Source organism: Homo sapiens, chromosome 9 (assembly GCF_000001405.40).
Source record: "Homo sapiens chromosome 9, GRCh38.p14 Primary Assembly".
Lineage (NCBI taxonomy): Eukaryota > Metazoa > Chordata > Mammalia > Primates > Hominidae > Homo > Homo sapiens.
This window is the reverse complement of record NC_000009.12, coordinates 14,736,259-14,759,458: the sequence shown is the minus strand read 5'-3', so window position 1 is coordinate 14,759,458 and position 23,200 is coordinate 14,736,259. Positions and strand designations below refer to the sequence as shown.

Here is a 23,200-nt window from a genome sequence, read left to right as displayed (position 1 = left end):
GGCTCACAGCAACCTCCACCTCCCAGATTCAAGTGATTCTCCTGCCTCAGGCTCCCGAGTAGCTGGGATTACAGGCACCTGCCACCAGGCCCTGCTAATTTTTGTATTTTTAGTGGAGACGGGGTTTCACCATGTTGGCCAGGCTGGTCTCGAACTCCTCACCTCAGGCAATCCATCCACCTTGGCCTTCGAAAGTGCTGGGATTACAAGCGTGAGCCACCTTGCCTGGCTGAGATATTAATTTTTAAAATCCATTTTTAATTTTGAAAGCTGTTATTTGTTTCTATGAACTCTTTAGACTTTGAGGTTTTATTTCATAGGGAGCTATATTCAACTTTGTGAACTTGGGCTGAACTCTGCTTTAGAAAGAGATGTTGTATGCAAGACATTCTGTGGGGTACCCAGAGCAAATTTCAGTCCCAAGAGGCTTTCTCTTAGTATTCACCTCAGTCACTTCCCATGGGCTCAGTTGATGAGGCAAATAGGCAGCTTAAACCCATCTATCTTAAGAGTTGTCCAAGCCATACAAAATTAGGAGAGCATATACTAATACAGGCACCCTGAAATATGAAGAATTTTCAGTTAACCACTTCTAGATCAGTCAACTTGCTATTTCTTTTCATTGATGTGACCCATGAAGCACAACCTATGGCTTCTAGAATTGAAGAATTTTTTTTAGGAGTCGTTATAACAAGAGCGCTTCAAGAGAATGAGAGCATGAAACACTTGTACACACTAATGATGGAGAATGAGCTGTAAAGACTCCCCCCCACCCCATCCCCCCACCATCTGATGAAAAAGACACTGGTATTAGCTTCTGGGGAAAAGGCCATTTCTATTAAGTCTCAATTTAATAATGAACTCAAATCACTCTCAGAAGCCTGGGAACATAAATTTGACCATATCCAGGCTCAGTATTTATCTTTCCAGTGGACACAGGTCCTTTTTCCTAGATCTGTTGGTTACTTTTTTGTTATTAAGACAGGAGAAAACTTGGCATGCCCTATAGTTTTCCAGAAGATTGCTTATGGAATAAGGAAGAATCTGCCTGGATGGTTTTCTAATAATCCTCCCGTCCTCCATAGAAAGCACCATATGCTCTAGGCTGGAGTTTTGGGCCACGCCACCATTCACCTTGCCAGGTAGAAAGAAGAGGCATGGTGTTACATGGAACCTTATGCTTATTTATGCTGAAAGTGCACAACAAACGTGCCAGCTGAGTGTGCAGGCCTTCATCAAGCACAGTCCCAGAGTCTTTCAGGACAACTCTACCCTGAGCACAACCTGCAGCCTTACACTAGAGCTTGGCTGCTTGACTGGGAGCAGGGAAAGAGGTGGTGCTTTTACCCTGTGTGGATTGCCCTGGTTTGAATTGTGCACCTTCACCTGACTGATTTCTCCAACCACCTTGCCTCAGACCATTCCTTTTCCCACATAGGATTCTGTAAACTCAGTGGTAGTAAATACTAGGTAATTGGACATGCAAGAACCATGCAGGGAAATGCAACTTCCAGCATATGGTGGATACAGGTGTATAATGGGCTGCCTTTTCACAATGAAAGGTGGTTCCAGAGGAGCCTTGGCATTGTAGACAAAGAGCAAATGGAAGCTTAGGAAGGTAATCCCCTTTTCCAGCAAAATGTTTCCACTGCTAACCAATTAATATATGAGGGGGCCTTTGATTTGAAATGGACATATTGTCTGAGGCCATAGAAGTAGGAATTTTTCAGCTTTTCATTATGCACTTCATTCTTTTGTCAGAAGGTACAGAAATATATTATCCCACATTCCTGACCATCTTAAACATCTAAAAAATACACACAAGTAACAGAAATGCTTGCACACGGTTCTCATTTGATGACTTATTTTTCAAATCAGCCAAAGACACTTTTTTTTTGTTTTTTGAGATGGAATCTCACTCTATCACCCGGGCTGGAGTGCAATGGCACCATCTCGGCTCACTGCAACCTCCACCTCCCAAGTTCAAGCTCTTCTCCTGCCTCAGCCTCCCCAGGAGGTGGGATTACAGGCGGCCGCCACCATGCCTGGCCAATTTTTTTGTTTTTGGTAGAGACGGGGTTTCACCATGTTGGCCAGGTTGGTCTTGAACTCCTGACCTCAAGTGATCCACCCACCTCTGCCTCCCAGAGTGCTGGGATTACAGGCGTGAGCCACCGTGCCGGCTCAAGGACACTTCTTAACATGTGTTTGGGCACCCTTTGGGTGGAATTCAAGGCCATGACTTCAGAGCGCTAAAATCGCCTCTTTGGTTTTTAGTCTTGGGGCTGGAGCTGAGAAGCAGGGGTGTATCAATAGTCTCCTTAGACTAGGGCATTTTTGTTGTTGTTGTTTTAAAACACCTACCTGACGGGGTCCTTGAAAGTCCTTGGTTTTGGGTGTGGATCTCCTTTGTCTGGTTGTTCACCAGGTCTTCCGGTTCCACAAAACTCTCCTTTCATGTTTGTGAAGAGTAATGGCTTCATCCAGACAGGAAAATGAACCAGATGTGTTTGAGTTAATCTAGTCTAAAGGCTTTCAGTGCCCTGGAGCTTGCAGGATACCTCCAAGCTAGCTGACAGATCATCACATGGGTTGTCAGGGGTACCTGCTTTTTCTTCTCCTCATCAATTTTCTCCCTCCTTTTCTTTTGAGGGACTATTTTAAAACCAAATTGGGATAGAAGGAAGGTAATAAAATTGTGCTTGCAACAAAGACAAAAATATAGTTTAAAATTCATGTTCCTTTCTTCAATAACTAAATCATTTATAAAGGAAAAACCAAACAAAACAAAAGCTTTCCTTTCCATTGATATTAGCCTAGGAAAAAGTCAACTTTAAGGAAAATGCATGTTGCCTGGATCCCAAATGGCTTATATAATTTTTTTAAAAACCCTACCTAATATTAAAAACAGATTTAAGAGCATGAGTTTAGTCCAGTATGAGGGAGAATAGCTGTTTCTCTATTGTAGAATATTTATTTTTATCTTAAAAAGATTTTTTTTTCCCTCCTAAGGTCAACCAAGTGTCAGCTGCAGTTGGAAAAGATTTCACCGTGATTCCATCTAAACTGATTCAGTTTGACCCAGGTACATTTTGTGTCTGCAGTTTGTTTTATGTGTTTTGTTTTTTGTTTTTTTTTGTAGGCATGTCTGGAGATTGTAGAGAAGATAGAATGTTACACAACTTTAGCCAACTAGAAACTCCTCAGGGAGCCATACCACCTCACTCTAAAAGAGAGGTGTTTGGATTTGAGGTTTTGCCCTTATTTTTTTTTAGTAACAAATGAATTTTGATTTCAAATGAGAAGAAAGATTATAATAAATATGAGATATCAAAGCAAACATCCAAGACAATCCAGAAAAAAATACAGTCACTTAGAAATTATTTGAAGTTCTAACACAAAGCTGTTATAGTTTAATTGCCTCAGATATTTTATGAAAATTTTCAGAATGTTATGTTTATATGGATTCCTAAAGGGCATTTCTAAATGATCCCTCATGGAATAGGTTGATATTAGGAGATTCCAGGGGAAATTATTATTTAGTTAAGTAGCACTTACTTTGTTTTAAATTTGTGGAAAAATTTTGCTAGGTGCAAGTGGAAATAAAAAAGGCTGGTACTTGCTCTCAAGTGTGTTCCATTGTGTGAGAAACACAGACAAGAATTAACACTCACTGATAGTGCACTGGGACCCAAAAGATGAGCTGTTGTTCAGGCTAAGAGAAATCTTGGAAGACTTCCCACGGGAGGCAGTATTTTAGCATTTAGATGAAGAAGAAAACTCCAGGATGAAGGACTAACACAAAAGCACCAACACACCTTTGGGGAGCTGTGCCTAAAGCTGAGGCTGGAGCCCGGCCATCTTTCCCTGGCTTCTGTGGATGGGACAGGTAGCTCTGCCTCACTCACTGCATGCCACTCTCTATTTCCCTGGGGTTTGAGATGGATCTGAATCAAATGTGGGGGCTTGGGAGTGGCAAATACAATGGGCCTGGAGAAGCAGACAGGACTGTGGCTTTGTGCTTTCCTGCCAAGGAGATGTTCTGCATACTGAGAACACTCCTCTAAGTGTGAACTATTGACATCATCTGCCACTAACTCATAAAGAGTTGAGCAAAGGCAAAAGAAAATGGCCTAAGTACCAGCACCACCTCAAAATTGCCTATCTTAATGTCAAACACAGAAAAGAAATGGCTCTCTGCAGTTCACTGCAAGTAGCATGATGCTTGAGGACTGTGTTAGTTTCTTCAGGCTGTCATAACACAGCATCAAACAGTGGGTAGCTTGAAACAGAGACATCGAGTGTCTCAGTTCTGGAGGCTAGAGGCCCAAGATCAAGCTGTCAGCATGAAGGATTACTTCTGAATCGATTCCATGCCTCTCTTCCATGCTTCCGGTGGCTGGGTGGCAAACGTTGGCATTCTTAGTGTCTGCTGCCTCACCTGCATCTCTGCTTTCATCTTCACGTAGCGTTCTCCTTGTGTGCATGTCTGTGTTATAAAGTCCCTGCCCCTTTTTTCTTTTTTGAGATGGAGTCACGCTGCGTCACCCAGGCTGGAGTGCAGTGGTGCAATCTCAGCTCACTGCAACCTCTGCCTCCTGGGTTCAAGCAATTATCCTGCCTTGGCCTCCCAAGTAGCTGGGACTACAGGCGCACACCACCACACCTGGCTAATTTTTTTGTATTTTTAGTAGAGACGGGGTTTCACCTTATTGGCCAGACTGGTCTCAAACTCCTGACTTTGTGATCTGCCTACCTCAGCCTCCCAAAGTGCTGGGATTACAGGCATGAGTCACTGTGCCCAGCCAAGTCCCCCTTTTTATACAATACCAGTCATAATGGATGAGGAGCCCACCTTATTCCAGTATGACCTCACATTAACTAATTACACCTGTAATTACCCTAGTTCCAAATAAGGTCACATTCAGAGGTACTGGGAGTGAGGACGTGAATTTTTTAGAAACGCCATTCAGCCTATAACAGTGAACCTTCACTTCGACATGCAAAAATCTGTATTTTGTTTTTGGCCTCCTTCCTGTGATAGTTAACATTCTAACTCAGATAAGCTGGTTCTTCCAGCTGACCTCCTTTTGTGGGAAGAGATCCTGTTATATATGGGAAAGATTCCTGTTATTTATGTGCTGTTTACTCCCACACTGGTACAGGCTCTTGCGGCCAACCCAACAATCCCTACAATGAAAGGGTGAGATGATGTGCGCCATGTCCCTTCCTACTTCATGTTAAGGCACTTCCAACTTTTCCATTTCTTGAGTCTTTGCCATATGTCATCTTCATAATTTGAGGTCTGTTTGCTACAAGATCAGGAGTAATTTTGGCTGCTAGTAGGTTTCAGGAGCCCATCAGGTGCTCTGTTTGGACTGATAGGAACTAGAACGTGTCACACTACAAGAGACTCTGAAATCTGTCTCTTGGAGATTCCACTGGATAAGATAAATACCCATTTGTCTAGAAGAGCTCACATGCTGTTTTGAGTAGATACTAATGACTTCTGGGGGCTGTAAATAATCTTATGATTTTAGATATTATTTAGACAATTTAAGAAATAATATAAGCATATCTTATAAATTAAGAAAAAAACAATTGGCTGTTCATTGTTTTAGAATTTATTAACCCAGAAGCAGTTTTGCAAACTGAAATCTTGCTTTAGAGAATTTTGAAGTTCTCCATGTCCACAGGTCCAGTAAATATTTACTCCTATCTTGTTAATCCTTGCCTCTTCTGGGTCTGGTGTCCCCATCCCCATATCCACCCCTTTTACCAAGGGAAATCAATTTGTTTCTTTTAAAACGGCAGCTTCCATGATTGGGTGAAGAAACAGAGTGAAAAACCGAAGACAGTGGGATGCCGTAAGGTTTGAGAACTCTTACGTGGGAGCTGGAAGGAAGCTTGCCTTGAAGTTGCAACTATGCTACCAAACCAAAAAAATACCAAACAAACAAAAGCAAACCCTAACTACTTTGCATTCAGCTATTGTGACTAGTCTTGAGTGGATATAAAAATACTCCTAAGAAAATGATTGTTTTCCTTTAAAATATGCATTATTGAAAGGCTTGCAGCATTCTTAATTGATCATCATTCCTTAGAGTCAAAATGTTTTCCAAGGGAACAGATCTCTAATGTGGCATTTACTAAAAAATATTGAGAAAATGTCTTTCAATAGAGAAATCTGCTTTGCAGGAAAACATCCAGGAACTCACCTACTCTGTAAAGTGGAATATGTCTGCATAAAATGACACCTCTGTTTTCTCTTCAGCACCTTTTGTTTTGTGGGAACAGGGAGCCAGTCCAAGCCTTCTGAAAATGCTTGTATATCTCAGGGACTTAGCAAATACTTTGCACCTTGAAAGTGAAAGAGGAAGGGAAAAAATGATAAAGTTTTGACTTCCAATCTCATTAACCTAAAGAGTTAGTCCTCTGTGCACACCTGGAAGGCATAGAAACCAAGTTGGAATGCACACAAACAAATCAGAAGCACTTAAATGAAACTCAAAAGATATTTTCTCCAACCCCTAACCATCTGGTTCTACTCCGTAAGGTCCAACAAAAACCTTAAGTTTTTTGTTTTTTGTTTGTTTGTTTGTTTGTTTGGGGGGTACTATAATTTTAAAAAATTAACCTTAAAATCAGAGAGTCGGTTGGGAGTTGGAAATATTTTCTGTATTGGATTTTATTTACATGATGCTTAACTTTATGGTCTTTGAGGGTCAAAACAGTTCTCCAAGTACTAATAATCATATTATTCATATGCTTTCTTCATTGACCACCTCTTATCTTTTCATGCCAATTGTATTACAGCAGCTGTCTATGTGGTCTTCAAACTTCTAGCCTATCTGTCTATCTGCCTGGATCTCCAGACTTTCTCACATAACACTCTCAGGTTCATTTTGCTAATCCACTTTCAGTGTGTGACTTCTTTGTTCAAGACCCTTCCCTCTTGCCTATGTTGTAAAGTCTGAATCTGGCCAGGTGCCCAGGGCTCTCTGCAGTCTGGCTACAAATAATCTTTGCAGCCTTATGGCCTCCTGTCCACCCATGTAACCTCTCTATTCCAGCCAGCTAATTCACTCACCCTTCCCGAGTCAAGACCTCTGCTTTGCTATCTTCCTGTCTTTACTTATGTTGTTTTCCTGTTTCCTCCCTCCTAATCCTTTCACTTCTAAAGCCCACATTTATATAGGCTCTACAATCTATTCTGTATCTTTTAGTAGGTAAACATACATAGCTTTCAATAATTATTTGACTTTTCTGGTTTTGCTTCTGTCTCCCCCAAAAGATTTTAAGCTCCCTTAGATCAGGGCTTGGCTTATGTTACACCTCTGGTATTCTCCATAGCATCTAATGCAAAGATAAGCATATCATAAGTACAAAATATATATTTTGATGTATTGATTTATCCATCCATGAGATGGGAATTGTATGGTATTATTATACATACTAGATGCTTCAACTTCTGCTTTTGCAAAGACTGTGAACGTAATTGGTTTAAAAACTCAGTACTGGAAGCTTAATAAATTAGCTGTCAGCCTGTTTTTGAATAAAATCTATTTATTCCAAGTACACCTAATTTTTTCCCCTCTAAGTGCAGCCAGCCAAAAGTAGAAGAAGTGGATAGCTTCACCTTTCCATTGACTTCTGTTGAGGATTGAAGAGACTGATTAGATCATGAGATCTATGTGAGGCATACCTTCAAGAAAGAGGCCACCATATAGATGGACAGTTGAGAGGTATAAGTCTGTAGAAGGCAATCTGCAAGATAAAAGAGTCGTTTTTTGGAGATGGGGACAAGGTCTCACTCTGTTGCCCAGGCTGGAGTGCAGTGACACATCCTGGGCTCACTGCAGCCTTGACCTTCTGGGCTCAAGCGATCCTCCCACCTCAGCCTCCTGAGTGGTTGAGATCACAGGCACGTGCCACCACGCCCACCTAATTTTTGTTTTTGTTTTTGTTTTATTGTAGAGATGGGGTTTTGCTCTGTTGGCCAGGTTGGTCTCAAACTCCTGAGCTCAAGTGATCTGCCCGCCTTGGCCTGCCAAAGTGCTGGGATTACAGTTGTTTACCACTGCACCCGGCCAAGAGTTACATTTTTAAGAGAAGACTTTTTAAAAAGTTTAACTGTATCATATAGAGGGGCTTAAAGGAGTAAAAGCACTCAAATAGCCAATGAGCAAATGGCAGAGTAAGCTTTTCCATCTCAGCTAAGAAAAGTTAAATCGATAAGTTTACTGTGTTTATTCCTCTTAAAGTTGAGCCTTCTTTCTCCACTTAAAAGTATTCCCTTTACTTCCTTCCACCACTTGTTCTTCTAAGTAAACTCAGGGGATATCCTATGATCCACATCATAGAAACTGGTCAGGATGAGATCATCTCAGAAGTTTCTTCTTGCAGTCTTAATATTTTGTGTATCTGGGGTTGCTTTGTTTCCAGTCTTGGTGTTGACAGGATGGCTGGGATATGTTTGTAAGGTCAAAACTGTTTTGTATAATATTAAGTTCACAAAGTTACTGTGAACCAAGCTTGATTGTAACTTCATGAATAGAGGCAGCCAGAAAGAGGGAAAAAATTGGCTTTATTTCTAGAACCCCCAGCCCATAAATTCTCTCTAGGAGGATATCAAACTACTGAGTATTATATCATCAGAAAAAGCATTTGTGGGCTAGAAAGATCTCAGGAAGTGGGGAAGCCGATGCAGGCAGCTGTCTTTAGAAATGATTAAGAAATCAATCATTTCAAGGGTTCCATGAATAGCATGAAGTACCATCCAATAATCACTTCTGTCTGCATCAACAGCTTAAGATTTTTTAAACTATTAAGATTTTGAGATTGCAATACTTGTTTACTCTTCAGAAGAGAAGGGACAGGTTGGGAAAATAATTAAGTCTTGGATCTCATCTAATAACCATTTTTTTTTTATCCCTTGCATACTGCAGCTTACTTTTTTGTTACAGTGTTTGCATTTAAACGGAAACATCATCGTCCAGGAACAAATGTGGTCTTTTCATATTATTTGGGAGAACAGCAGGACTTCAGTGAGTTGGTAGCAGTACAATAGCTCACTCGGGCTACTGCAGTCTAGCTGTAGACATGTTAATTAATATATTTCTCTGACACCTAGGTGATTGAAATAGCAATTAAAGAGTAATTAAAATGTTTACTTCTTGTAGGAATGTCAACTAAGATGTGGAATATAGCAATTACCTATGACGGATTAGAGGAAGATGATGAGGTCTTTGAAGTAATTCTGAACTCCCCTGTGAATGCAGTTCTTGGCACAAAGACAAAAGCTGCAGTGAAAATTTTGGACTCAAAAGGAGGTATTCTTTTGATCCTCATCTTGAAATCAGGAGCGGTCCTGGCGCTGTAGCTCTTGCCTTCAACAGCCAACGTGCTTGATAACACCTTCAAATCAAAATGCTTAATTTCTTGTCAAGAAAGCACCCTCAGTCGTGATGTAGGCCCTTTATTCTGGTTTCTGCTTCATGTGGTTTTCCTCCTGCTAAGTACGATCACTTGAGAAAAGCAACAAGTCAGTGCCGTAGTTGTTTTTTTCCTACCCGTTTGTTGTTCTCACCGAGGGGGAAACAGTGTTGGTGAGAATCTGTCGACAATTATTTTCCCCAGAGTCTGTAGAGCTATAATTATCTTTCTCTGTTAAAGAGCACTCTTAATGCCTAAAATCTGAGCCCCCACTGTAGTGTGACCAGGAAAATTCTAAGAGAGGAAGGAATTGGAGAAAAATAGATGTGAAAGATGCAGCTGGCTTGGGAATTTGGGAGCAGCTGGAGAATATTAATGAATGACTTTGGATGGCAGCGCCAAACAGGTCCTGGATTGTCTATGCTAAAGAACAACCTGTGAACTAAATAAAATAAAGACCAGCCAGACTCTTTGGTGCTCTGATTTTTTTCCACCAAATGCCTTTTAGTTACTTGTCTTTTTAGCATTTGACGAGTGTTCGTACCATACTCAATCTTACACTCCCATTTTTATACCTGTCATGCCCTGTGGTCCATATTTTTTTCTTGCCTGGAATCTATTCCCTTCTCTTCTCTTTCCTACTCTATAAAAAAATGGGACCTCCCCTCTTTTCTTTATAATATCCTTGTTTCTGCAACATCTCTCCCCACTACCTTTCCTCACCAAATTTATTTCTTTTCCAGTAGAATTTTCTGGTCACATGAAGTACATAAAATACATGATATACACACCTTATATGTGAAATATAAAATACCCAGACAAGGGTTTTGCCCTCAAATTTTTTATGCCTTCCCAGAAATACTAATTGGTGAGGTTTCCAATAGGAGCCGCTCTATTAAGATTTACTGGGTCTTTGTTCTACAGCAACTAAGAGAAAAGTTTTATAAATACTACTTAATTCTATGACATCTTTAAACAATTCCAGTTTCTACCTCTAGGAAATGATTACTTTAAAGTGCTTGTGGAATAATGCTTGATCAGTGAATAAACTTTTATGTTGGGGAATACTATAATAAGAGAAGTGAGACTTTCCCCCCAGTATATGATATGATAATAAAATCATAACAGTGATTTTCATTTGGGGTTTATGAAATTGATTTCATGACTTTATAATCACTCAATAGATGTGCAGACGAGCACAGCTTTCCTGGATGTAAACTGATGAAGAGTAAAGGAGTTTCTGGCAAATGGCAAAAAGGCAACATCTGGTGGGAAAACCATCCATCTAGGTTTAATGACAAGCTGCTCCAGGAGCTGTGTCAATGTGATACCTTATCTGTTTGTGTAAAATGAACTGACCGCCTGCCATCTTGCATGCCTCCAGGACAATGCCATCCTTCATATTCCTCCAACCAAAGCAAGCACAGCACATGGGAGAAGGGCATTTGGCATCTGCTGCCCCCAGGGTCTTCCTCATCCACCACTTCTGGTTCCTTTCATCTGGAAAGAAGACCTCTTCCATCTTCCATGCAGCTAGCAGTCATCAGGGGAGACACCCTGCGGGGCTTTGATTCTACAGATCTTTCTCAAAGGAAGCTTAGGACCCGTGGGAATGGCAAAACAGTAAGGATGGGGACCTTCTGGGAAATGATGTGCAAAATACATATTAAAAGGATCAGAAGATATTAATAAGTATTCTGAAACACTGAAGAAGCTGTTTTGATTCTCATAGTGAGTGGGGGCCATGGTTCCTTGCACAGTTATGCAGTGCCTTCTGTATACAAAGATCTTGAGGCTGCCTTGCTTCTTTAATTGTACTGAGGTGATAGATATGCTGATTCATCCATATGATTTCTTCTTTGATTCCTTTTGTGACCAAGACAAATAGGGAATGATCCATGACCCTGAAATAGAGTGAGATGAAATGATGCGATTGGGTGTGGAAGCCATGGCTTTGACCTTATTAACACAGCATTCTAACCATTGCATACTCTCATATGTGCACACGCGTGTGTGTGTGTGTTCTTGGACCTGTGTACTATAGATATACCAAAAAATAAAGATGTACTTTTTCCCTGACTGGAACTCTGTATGTGTGAATCCACACAACAATCATAAATTCTGATTAGGCCTAGTGATTTTTGAAATTCCAATGATTTGGGCGTGGGAAATCTTAAGATTACATATGTTTTGTAATTGTTCAGACATTAGCAAGATCTTACTTGGTGGTTTTACCCTATTGCTAGTTATTAGTCAATCCAATTCTGTTCATATTTTGTTCTCTGTCAATTTCAGGTTCGTCCATCCTCTGTTTATAGAAATGGAACAGACATCATCTATAATGTAAGTGTAGTCACAGAATTGCTAAATTTCTTATATTTATGGATGCAAGTATTTAATGAAGCTATTATTTTATATTTTTTATATTTATACATTTCTCTTAAAAAATTGTTTTGAAATTAGAGGCTTGGGTGTTCAGAGAAACAAATCCTCTTATCTTTTTGCTTTGACTGAATTTTTGAATTGCTCATTTTTTTGTTTGCTATCTTGATGTTTGTTTTTTCCTTATTGTTGTTGATTGTTGGTTTCCTCAAGTATCATGGGATAGTTTCCTTGAAACTGGAGGATGACAGTTTCCCAACTCACAAAAGGAAGGCCAAAGTATCCATCATTAGTCAGCCACAAAAGACAATCAAAGTGGCAGAACTGCCTCAAGCAGATAAGGTGGAATCCACAACTGACTCACACTTCCCCAGACAGGTATGAAAATCTTTGTTCCTTCTTACTCACCTTATAACAAGTTGTTTGCTGGGCCAGAAACACACTTAATTCACAAAATAGCCTCCAAGGTTGGGGGGATAGTTTACCCAACACAAATGCTTCCCAACAAATGAAGACCCAAAGGAGGTGAATGTGTGAGCAACTTTCCTTAAGTCAATTCTAAATTGCTAAATTGCCTTTCCTTCCCAAAGGACCAGTTGCCCTCATTTCCAAAGAACTGCACTCTGGAATTAAAGGGACTCTTCCATTTTGAAGAAGGCATCCAGAAGCTGTATCAGTGCAATGGGATCGCCTGGAAAGCCTGGAGTCCCCAAACCAAGGTAGGAGGCAGGCTGAGCAGCCAAGCACCTTTATTCGCAATGTGCTCTATGATAAGCTAATAGAGGGGAACCATCTGGTGCATGACTCAACCCATGCTACATCTTCCTGCCATTGTTAACAACTTGAAGGCCAAGAGGAAAAAATGGCCCAAAGTGGCTTTTTAAAAATCACAAAATATGTTAGTTAAATCAATACCATTTAAGAAGATGTTTACTTATTTTGTTCAGTTATCAGAGTGTCAAAGTTGTAACAATGAAACGTTGCTGACTGTGGTAGTGTTTTCTGTAAGAAGCCATTGTATTTCTCAAGATGGAGAATTGGGATTAGGGCTGACTCCCTTTGTGGTAACCAAACTACTTGACTGAAGTTAGGGAACTCGTAGGACTCCTTATGCTGAACCAACTCCAGATTGTAAAGACCATTATGATATGAACACAGACAACTGTTTTTCAGGATGTGGAAGACAAATCCTGTCCAGCCGGGTGGCACCAGCACTCAGGCTACTGTCACATCTTGATCACAGAGCAGAAAGGCACCTGGAATGCGGCTGCCCAAGCTTGCAGGGAACAGTAAGGCACCCTATTGCACATTTGATTGGTGTTTTCTTTTCTCTATTTCTCTATTTGCTCATGGAAGCGGAGAGCTGCTTCATTCATTCAACAAGTATTGAGTGCCTAATATCTGCCTGGCTTTGTTTTAGGAGCCCTGAGGGAGTTCCCTAGTTCAGAATGGATTTGTGATGGGCCTTGATAATGTATTTGGTTGGTGCAAAAGTACTTGCAGTTTTTGCCATTACTTTTGCACCAACCTAATATTTGACTGAGCTCTTTTCTGTTAAAGCTGCACCATTGCCATGTTTCTTTTTCTTTTATTTTCTTTTCCTATCTCAGTCTTTGTGAGGAAATCAGAAGATTTTCTGAGTCAGCAGCATTGCAGTTTCTTTTTTTATGTGATAAGAATTCCTGCCCATTTAATTGAAAGTATATAGTAATGAAAAGCCTTATAACGTCGGGCCTCTAGCAATGCGATTATACAGCAATGATTATAAAGCTGGGCAAGTAAGACAAAGGCTCACTGGGTAAAAGAACATTCAATAAAGGATAACTTATGGTCAGAGAATGACAACCAATGTATGTAGTCCAGAAGGACTTTAAAAATGCATATGTACCTATCCCTGACCCTCCTTTTTGTTTGCCAATCTGGATATTATCTAAACAACACAATTAGACTAATATGCCCTATGGCTGGAAATTGAGACTAGGGAAGTCTCTGGTTATTATTGATCTGATCTCGTACTTCATAAAATTTAAAAAGTTATACACATCTAAAGACTCCATTAAGAAAATGAAAGAGCAAACCATATTCAGAAAAAGCTGTTCTCAAATCATAAACCTGATAAAGGTCTTAAACCCAGAAAATACAAACAACTTCAACAAATCAATGACAAAATGACGATTCAAACAATAATAAATGATTTGGAGTCTTCGCAAGAGTAGATGTCCAGTTGGTCAATAAATAAATGAAAAGCTGCTCAAAACCGTTAGATATTAGGTAAATGAAAATGAAAACCACAATGAAATACCACTTCACACCTACTAGAATAGTTTGAAGTATAAATATGACAATCCAAATTTGTTTTTAATTTTTAAACTTTTATTTTAAGTTCAGGGGTAAATGTGCAGGCTTGTTACCTGGGTAAATGGTATGTCATGGGGTTTGTTGTAGAGATTATTTCAACATCCAGGTATTAAGCCTATTACTCATTAGTGATTTTTCCTGATCTTCTTCCTCCTCTCACTTTCCAAACTCCAATAGACCCCACTGTGCGTTGTTCCCCTCTATGTGTCCATGTGTTCTCATCATGTAGCTCTCACTTATGAGAACATGCAGCATTTGGTTTTCTGTTCCTGCATTAGTTTGCTACAGATAATGACCCCCAGCTCCCTCCATGTCCCTGCAAAGGACATAATCTTGTTCTTTTTTATGGCTGCATAGTATTCCATGGTGGACAATACCACATGTTGCTAAAGATGCAGAGCAAATAGAATTCTCATGTGTTGTTGGTAGAAGTGTAAAATGGTACAATCACTTTGTAGAACTGTCTTACAGTTTCTTATAAAGTTATATGCATCTACCCTATGACCTAACATATTCTACTCCTAGGTATTTAACTAAAAGAAATAAAAATACATACTAAAAAAGCTTCATAAAAATGTTGTATAATAACTTTATTCATAATAATACTAATTTGGGTCATTTGTTTTTTGTTATTGATGTTTAGAAATACTTGATATTTTCTCCATCAGCAAGAGAATAAATTTTTGATAAATTATTTTATAAGTGATGGAATAAAATACTGAAGCGTCCAACAATGTAGATAAATCAAAAATGGAACATAGAGAGAAAGCAGCCCTACACAAAAGAATACTTATTATATGATTGCATTTATATAAATAAGATAATATAATCTATGTTGTTAGAAATAAAAAATTGTTATCTTTGGTAAGATTGTGGAATGACTAGAAAATAGCACGAGGTAACGTTCTAAAGTAAGAGAAGTGTTCAATGTCTTATTGTAAGTGGTTATTAAATAGATGTATATACAATTGGCAAAATTCATCAAATTGAATATTTAAAAATCTATTCATTTTATTATATGTAAATTATACCCAGATTTTTTTTAAAGCGAATAAAATGTTTTAAAAGTGTGTTCAAAAACTAGTTAAACCACCTTTTTCTCTACTGGTGTATTTCATGTTTTAACTGTGAGTAGAGTCACCAGAGAGGTTAATCAGTGGCTTTCAGGGTTTTTTTGGTTGATAAGTTGGTGGTATCAAATAAGATAAAATATTAAAATTTTTACAAATAATAATTGCTTTAAATACATATATTTCCTTAGTGCTACATGTTAAAGAACAAATAAGACATTCTTCCGTCATTAAGATGGTTAAGCTGTTAAAATGACATCTTAACTAGATGTCATTTAGTTTGTCGTAATGCACTGAAAGCTCCAGTAGAAGTAGTGGTATTGGTCTTTTTTTCTCCTTGAGGAAAGGGCTTTGATGTTGATCAAAAGCTATCTAAACTAGCAAGAAGATGATTGCAGTATGCAACAAAAGGGAGAATACTATGGTGTCTCTGCTTACAAAATTAAGGGAAAGAGTAGTTATACTCCAGCCAAAGTTATCAAGGTTAGGTGATTGCTGGGATTTGTTGATAAAATGTAGATGAACAGAACTTCCCACCTTGAAGTTTAGAAGCTATCTTTTGTTCATCTTCCAATGGTTCTTAAAGGCCAATGCAAGTAACTGGTCTATAATGAAGCTTTCATTGGTTCTTAATGTATGAGAAAAATAAGGACAGTAAGTATTGAGAAATATCTTTCCATTCAGTCATGGATGGTGGTGTCACATTGCCAAGTGTGTTTTTTTAAAGGACTGTTCTTTATTACGAGATTATAATAGTCTAGCTTTTTATTGTCAAAAACTACTTTTTATGAAATAATAGCAACTTATAACATTGTCGATGCCCTCATGTTGACAAACCTACATCAGTCTCCCATCATCTTTTGTTTTCATTTTATTGTTCCATCTATTAATAATTGTGACTAGGTTCTATTGGTGAGTAGCAATGAGTTCTTCACGTATCTATGAATACTGTACCATTCGATCATCACAATAATAAACTTAAGGCCTAAATTAATTTAAAAGCATAGATACTTTCTCATGCACTTAATCTAAGATTTCATCTGCAGCTTGGTTTTAAGCACCTTCACCCATGACCCTTTTATATTAGCCTGACTGTAGTTCTACATGCCTCCTTGTCAATAATGTCTTACTTTTATATTTATAGTATATGAAATTGTTTCACATGCATTAGCTTATTGGATCCTTCCATCACTTCTCTTATCTACAGTTTATGGATTTATTTTAAAAAGAGGTTCAAGGAAGCGAAATCACTTGCTCACAGGTATACAAGGAAGTAAATGAAAGAGATAGAATTTAGTTTTTCATCCTTATACTCTCTAAAACAGGTCCCCTAAGTATAGCAGGTTTCTCATCATAGGTGTACTGACAAGTATGTCTATTTTAACTATGTTTTGAGGTAACCCAAAGTAGATTTTCAAAATTATGTGTTAATAATTGTTTTTCTCTCACTGCAAACACATATAAGATTTTTATTAAATTATGGATCCTAAGTTTCCTCTGGATTTGAATCAAACTAACCTTTCAAGGCGAACCTAAGGTATGATCAAATTCCTAGTTTATAGATACATTCATTTAACAAATATTTCTGAAAGTCCTTTACAGAGGGTCATTCACAACACCCATATTTCCACAAGGACAGCAAATTTTGCTTTATCCTTTGTCCCTAACCAGATTGCTAACTCAACTTAATCTTTATCTCTAGTCTTCTTTCCTCCCCAGTGGTGTTTTATTATTTTTCTAAGTCAAAGGAGCCAGACTCCTAGATTATGCACTTCTTGAATTTACATGTTGTAATCTCATCTGCTCATTTCCTCAGGCAGTCATTGTACATTTGGTAATTATATTATTATAGAGCATTATCTATGAAGCCATTTTGTTTTCCCGCAGGAGTGTCTGGAACCCCTGCTGGCCTATCCTTAGAGTTACCCTGAAGTCTACCTATACTTAATCAAAAATTTTCAGAGAAGTAGATGTTTATTTCTATAGCCAGAAAAATTAAAGCTTCTGTTTCTAATTCTATACTACAAATATTTGTGTATGTGTACCTATTTATAATTTTATATCCATATATACACCTATACAGATAATACCCACCACATTTTATATGTATGTGAGCATAAAATAAAAGGAGTGATATTTTTCTAAAATAATAAACATATGAATACCTAAATGTTTCTTTTGCGAATAACTATGCTCTTAACATTTTACCTGTCTTGAAGCAGAGCTATCTTCCCATCTCACTCTTTTGGAACTTCTTGCTTTCTGGAGAGTCAAAAAGAAAACCGAAATTGTACTTGGGCAGCTAAAATGGATTTTACCAAGTTTGTTTTAAAGATAGCTTCAGGAATCTTCAAGCTAGAGAAGATGTTAAATATCCTTGAATAAAACCCATTATATCCTGATGCTGAAGTTGAGGCTGCAAAGTTAGGGAATTTCAGTAAGCAAATTAGTTCAATAAGAGAATTAGGGAATTCAGTCAGGGAATTAAGGGGTAATCAGGAAGTAGAATCCTAGTCTCTCATGCTCTGTACAAAATGTCATAGTGACTGGGACAGTCCCTCAAGCCCTCCCTCAGCTTATATTTAACCCAAGTTTCATATTGTGTGTTCTAAGCCTACAGCGCTTTAGAGTGAGCGTGTTGGATGTGTTGGGGAGGGGAGGAGAGGAGATGCCTCATCATACCTGCTGTAACTGTCAGACAGGAGCTGAGAGTCAATAATGAGGTCAGAGCCAAGTCACAAAACCCAATCCAGCGGTCTAAGGCCATTCAGTGGAGGGGCAAAGAGCCTTATATATCTAAGAAGGCCTAGAAATCATCATTGCATCAGACAGCAGCAAAATACTGTTATTAGTAGAGGGAAATCCTTTAAAAATAGACAAATTATGTTCACCATATCTAGTCTGGAAAAGCAGAGAAATAGATCTGAATTTTGAAAAGACATAGGCAAAATAAATAAAATTAAATTTAACAGCTATCTGCCCGAATGTGTTGCTAATTTTGTTTCCTACTTTTCTTTTCATATCAATGGATATTAACCAGGCAAAAAGATCATGGTGATTTAATTTTTTTCCTTGTTTGATTTTTTAAGTGTTTAAAATTATTTTTTAAAATTTAATTTTATGTTTAATTGACAAATAATACAAATTACATTGTAGGGTACAATGTAATGTTATGATACATGTATACATGATATATTTGTTTCTTGTTTGAAACTTTCTGTTTTTTTTATTTTTAAAGAAGAAAGAATTACTTAGTGGCTTCTTACTTAAAGCATTTTTAAAGAGGTTTTAATGAGCACTGCTGGGGAATTAGGCACAATCAAATATCGCTTCTAGGAATAACTCAGTTAGCTGCAAAAATAATTTATAAAAAATTCTGTTTTGTGAAAAATATTTTACATATGTTTGTAAAAACAAGCACTTTAATTTCTGTGCATTATATGAAGGTTTGACAGTTGGGGCTATACTCATTTCATTGAGTATAATGAAGTCATAATAATGTGTTTATTTGGCTAAACCCACTAAGCTCCAAATTTAAACCTGAAGTAATTTTATCTAAATAGTTAGTTTGGGTTAACTTACTCATCAAATTAACTTGGTATTTGCCAAATTTATACCAGCTAGAAATACACTTATGAGAAGAATAGTATTTTGTCATTAAATAAGTAATTGTTATAAGTAGGCAGTTGCTGATTTTCCAAAAAGATGTTTGAAACCTACTGTTTATGTTTGAAAACCTATCGATGTTTTTTGCTGTAAAGCCCAGATATTATAATAAACCATCACTTTCTTTGATGTCACCTACCCCCACCCTGCAGATACTTTTTAAATAAAACTGCACTATTAAAATCTTAGAAAGTTTTTTTAAAGACCTACTTTTTTGTGTATTTTAAACTTACTTTTATTTCTGTTATGCATTTCGTATCAGCAGAAATGTTAACTGCTTGTTGCTGATACTCTCATTTTCATTTGCATTTAGATACCTGGGCAACCTTGTAACTGTATTCTCCAGGCAGCACATGCGGTGGCTCTGGGACATTGGTGGGAGAAAGTCCTTTTGGATAGGCAAGTATCTGGGAGGGAGGCTGCACTGAGGAGGGAGGCAAGGACATGAAACAAACAGGCACCACCACCCTGCTACTTCCTTCCATGGGTTAAATGATAGTGGTTTACAATAATAGGCAACCAATAGATCTAGCCATTTATCTTTTAAAACTCATCTTAAACCTTTTTTTTGACACACTACTTTCATTTTTAGACATCTATCCCAAAGAAATAAATAGGAATGTGGTCAGATTGACAGGCAAGAGAATTCAATGCAATAACATTTCTAAAACCAAAAAATTAGAAATTGCTATAACTAAAGAATGGTTAAATAAATTATAGTACAGCCACATGAAGGAATATGTAAGATTTAATGTTTTTGCAAGCCATTAAATAATAAAGACATGAAAAATTGCCTTACGTTTATTAATTCATTTAACAAATATATGTTGGATGCACATTATATTACATATAAAATGTAAAGTGTATTCCATTTATGGCAAGGTGCAAAGTGAAAATGCAGGGTCCACATCCATATAAAGTATGAAATAATTTAGAATAAAAACAATTATATGCATGTGGTGTATGTATAAATATAAATATATATTATATTTGTATATATAAATATATATAATATTTACATATTGGAATATATACATATATTCATATATATATGAATATATATATATGAATTATATATATATATATATATATATATATTCCAAATAATTAGAAATGACTTACCTCCAGTCAAGAATTATAGGTAGGCTGGGTATGGTGGCTCACGCCTGTAATCCTAGGACTTTGAGAGACCAAGGCTGGAGGATTGCTTGAGCCCAGGATTTCGAGATGAGCCTAGGCAACATAGTGAGACCTTGTCTCTGTGAAAAATTTAAAAATTAGCCAGGCATGGTGGCAGCTAACAGTAGTCCCACCTACTTGGGAGGCTGAGGTGGAAGGAGTGCTTGAGGCTAGGAAGTTGAGGCTGCAGTGAGCCGTGATTGTGCCACTGCATTCCAGCCTAGGCAACAGAGCAAGACCCTGTCTCAAATAATAATAATAATAAATATAGGTGATTTTAATTTTATTCCCTCTTTTCTGAAGTCTTAATATTTTCTACAGTTTTAACAATAATAAATCTTTTTTTTTTTTTTTTTTTTGAGACAGAATCTCACTGTGTCACCCAGGCTGGAGTAGAGTGGTGCAATCTTGGCTCACTGCAACTTCCGCCCCCTGGGTTCAAGCAATTCTCCTCCCTCAGCCACCTGAGTAGCTGGGATTACAGGTGCCCACTACCACACCTGGCTAAGTTTTGTATTTTTAGTAGAGACGGGGTTTCACCATGTTGGCCAGGCTGGTCTCGAACTCCTGACCTCAGGTGATCCACCTGCCTCGGTCTCCCAAAATGCTGGAATTGCAGGCATGAGCCACCGCACCCGGCCAAATGACAAATCTTTTAAACCACTTTAAAAACAGAATTTTCAGGGCGCATCAAAGTCAGTATCCCCACTACTTCTCTTTAAAGGCGTTGTATTTGAGGGAACTGTAATAGTTCCCTCTCTTGGCTTTCACTATTTCTGCAGTGCTCAGTGGGTCCCTAAATTCTGAAATGAACTGAGTATTAAGAGACAAGCTGGAGGATAAGTTTTCTCTACATCCATAATGACTCACTGCAAGGCTCTGTCCTCACAATATGCTTAGGCAGAATGTCACTAATCAATAATTCAGGGAGGGCATTCCTAACCAAAAGTATTTCATTTCATTCCACCCAAAAATACAGACTGAAAAACAGTTGGGGAAGGTAAAATGTTATGTATCTAGGACTGTTTTCATGGTCAAATTTGATTTGGGGAATGTCGGATCATGCTATGGCAGGGAGTTCCTTTCTCATTTTATTCTTTTTTATTTCTATTATGAAAGAGAGTGAGTAGGGGAATGCTTAAGAAAATATTACAGAAGCTTTACAACATTAAAGTGTAATTTGCAAAATTTGCCAGTGGAGGTAGAGAGGCAAGTCGAGAAAATCTGCTTTTTATTGGAATTGTAGCAGATTGAAACATCTTAAGCTCCAGACTCAAAATAATACATAGTAAGCTACTTTCAAATATGAAAACCAGGACATTTAAATAATGAGGAAGAAAAATAATATGCAAGAGAATATCTGTTTCCCTGTGATAGGAGTTCTGCATGTAGGATGATATGAATAATAATAATAGCTGCCATTTATTAAACACTTATATATGCCAAGAGCTTTACATGCATTATCTTTTTTAATCCTCAAAACAACCCTAGATGTACTATTTTTATGCCCATTCCTTAGATGAGGAAACTGAAACTCAGAGAGGTTAAGTAACCTGCCCAAAGATGCTCATCTAGCAAGTAAGTGGTAGAGCTAGAATTGGACTGGGATTTGTTTGACCGTTTGTGTCTTAGAGTATTCCAAGTTCCTATCCCTTGTTTTAGAACCTGGGCCCACACTTGCATGTGATAACTGAGCTTAGAGCAACAGCTGGATATGATATCTAAGTATAAACGCAATAAAAGTAATTGGTACATTCTTTTGGTTCACATTAGGTTTGAACGACCAAGTGCATGCTGGCCACTGGGAGTGGATCGGTGGTGAACCTGTTGCCTTCACCAATGGGAGAAGAGGGCCCTCTCAACGCTCCAAGCTTGGAAAGAGCTGTGTTTTGGTTCAAAGACAAGGGAAATGGCAAACAAAAGACTGTAGGAGAGCCAAACCTCATAATTATGTGTGTTCCAGAAAACTCTAAATATAACAGACCCTACAGGGGGCCACCTGGAGTTTGTCACCTATTTATTCACAGGATCTGTGAATATTGCTCCATAGAAAACAAATTGTTATGATTGAGTGGGTATACCTTTGTGATTCTGTCTAGTGAAAATGGGACATTTTTAATAGTGCCAGAAAGATTGATAAATAAATATTTTTTACAAGATAAGATACAATTTTTGTATCTCAATACCTTTTAAAATAAATGCCAGCAGTATTATAAAGTGTAAGGTTTGTTTATTCCAGAAGACCCTCACCCTTACCCCATTCCAAATCTCAGGGAGCACCAGTCTCATAGTCCTTGGATTTTTTTAAAAAAAATTTTTGGTCCCGTTACCTCTAATGAATTTATTCTGAAATATGTATCGTAGGTGCTCCTACCACTTTAGTCTGAGTGAAGCTAACTCTACTAGTTCATTAAACCAAAGTTGAACCGCAAAGTTGTCCCTTTGGAGCCCTTTAAATGTGAAATCTAAGATTAGAGGCTGGGGTTGAAAAAGAGAATTTTCTATGATGAAAAAGAAAGACTTTAGATGAAAGAATCTTGTAGGTGGAGGCTCATCTACAAAGCTGTAGTTCAGGTAAGAATTCGGGGGGCTGGCTGTACTCAGAGTTCTACTCATCACTATTCATGAAACAGATCTCCCTTTCCAATTTGAGTGTTGGCATTGTACCATCCCAAAGCTAATGATTGGGTTTCCCCAGCCTTACAGAGTCATGAGAAATTTCAAGTAACATAATCTGTTCCTCTGTGTTTATTGTACTGACAAGCATTTCTCAGGGACACTTGGGATAAGGAGTATATATGAATGATGGTTGACACATGGAAGAAAAATACTGCTTCCTCAGAAATGTCCTGATGAACTGTGCTGATGAACAGAGAAAAATAATACCGAAAACAGAGCCCCTGAAAGCCTACATTCTCGGAAAGGATTTTGAGGAATTTTGAGCCACCTTAAATCTTTAATATTTGCAGAAATGCCATGTTAACTAGATTCTCTAACGGAAAGGTACCTTATTAATTTATAATCTCAGGTGAGTGGAACATTTTTGTAACAATGAAGTATGTTGCAGCGTTACCAGAACTCCCTTCTGAAATCAAGGTTTAACAGTTATA

The 23,200-nt window shown here is 38.0% G+C and overlaps 1 protein-coding gene across 27 annotated transcripts in view; it reads left to right on the top strand.

Moving 5' to 3' along the window:
* FREM1 (FRAS1 related extracellular matrix 1) overlaps positions 1-22,307 on the top strand; it is a 173,844-nt gene extending 151,537 nt beyond the window's left edge. For 19 of the 27 annotated variants that reach the window (NR_163239.2, NM_144966.7, XM_047422844.1 and 16 more), the window contains 9 exons: positions 3,013-3,085; positions 9,183-9,332; positions 10,820-11,058; positions 11,731-11,778; positions 12,031-12,195; positions 12,408-12,536; positions 12,991-13,106; positions 19,225-19,310; positions 21,864-22,307. Coding sequence is in view for 24 of the 27 variants with exons in the window: in NM_144966.7 (NP_659403.4) it covers positions 3,013-3,085; positions 9,183-9,332; positions 10,820-11,058; positions 11,731-11,778; positions 12,031-12,195; positions 12,408-12,536; positions 12,991-13,106; positions 19,225-19,310; positions 21,864-22,063 (1,206 nt within the window). In the remaining 3 variants the exon portion in view is untranslated. Of the gene's footprint in view, positions 1-3,012; positions 3,086-3,590; positions 4,561-5,814; positions 9,048-9,182; positions 9,333-10,819; positions 11,059-11,730; positions 11,779-12,030; positions 12,196-12,407; positions 12,537-12,990; positions 13,107-19,224; positions 19,311-21,863 lie in introns of those variants that run through there. The other 8 variants (NR_163242.2, XM_017014324.3, XM_047422859.1 and 5 more) reach the window with 6 other exon arrangements.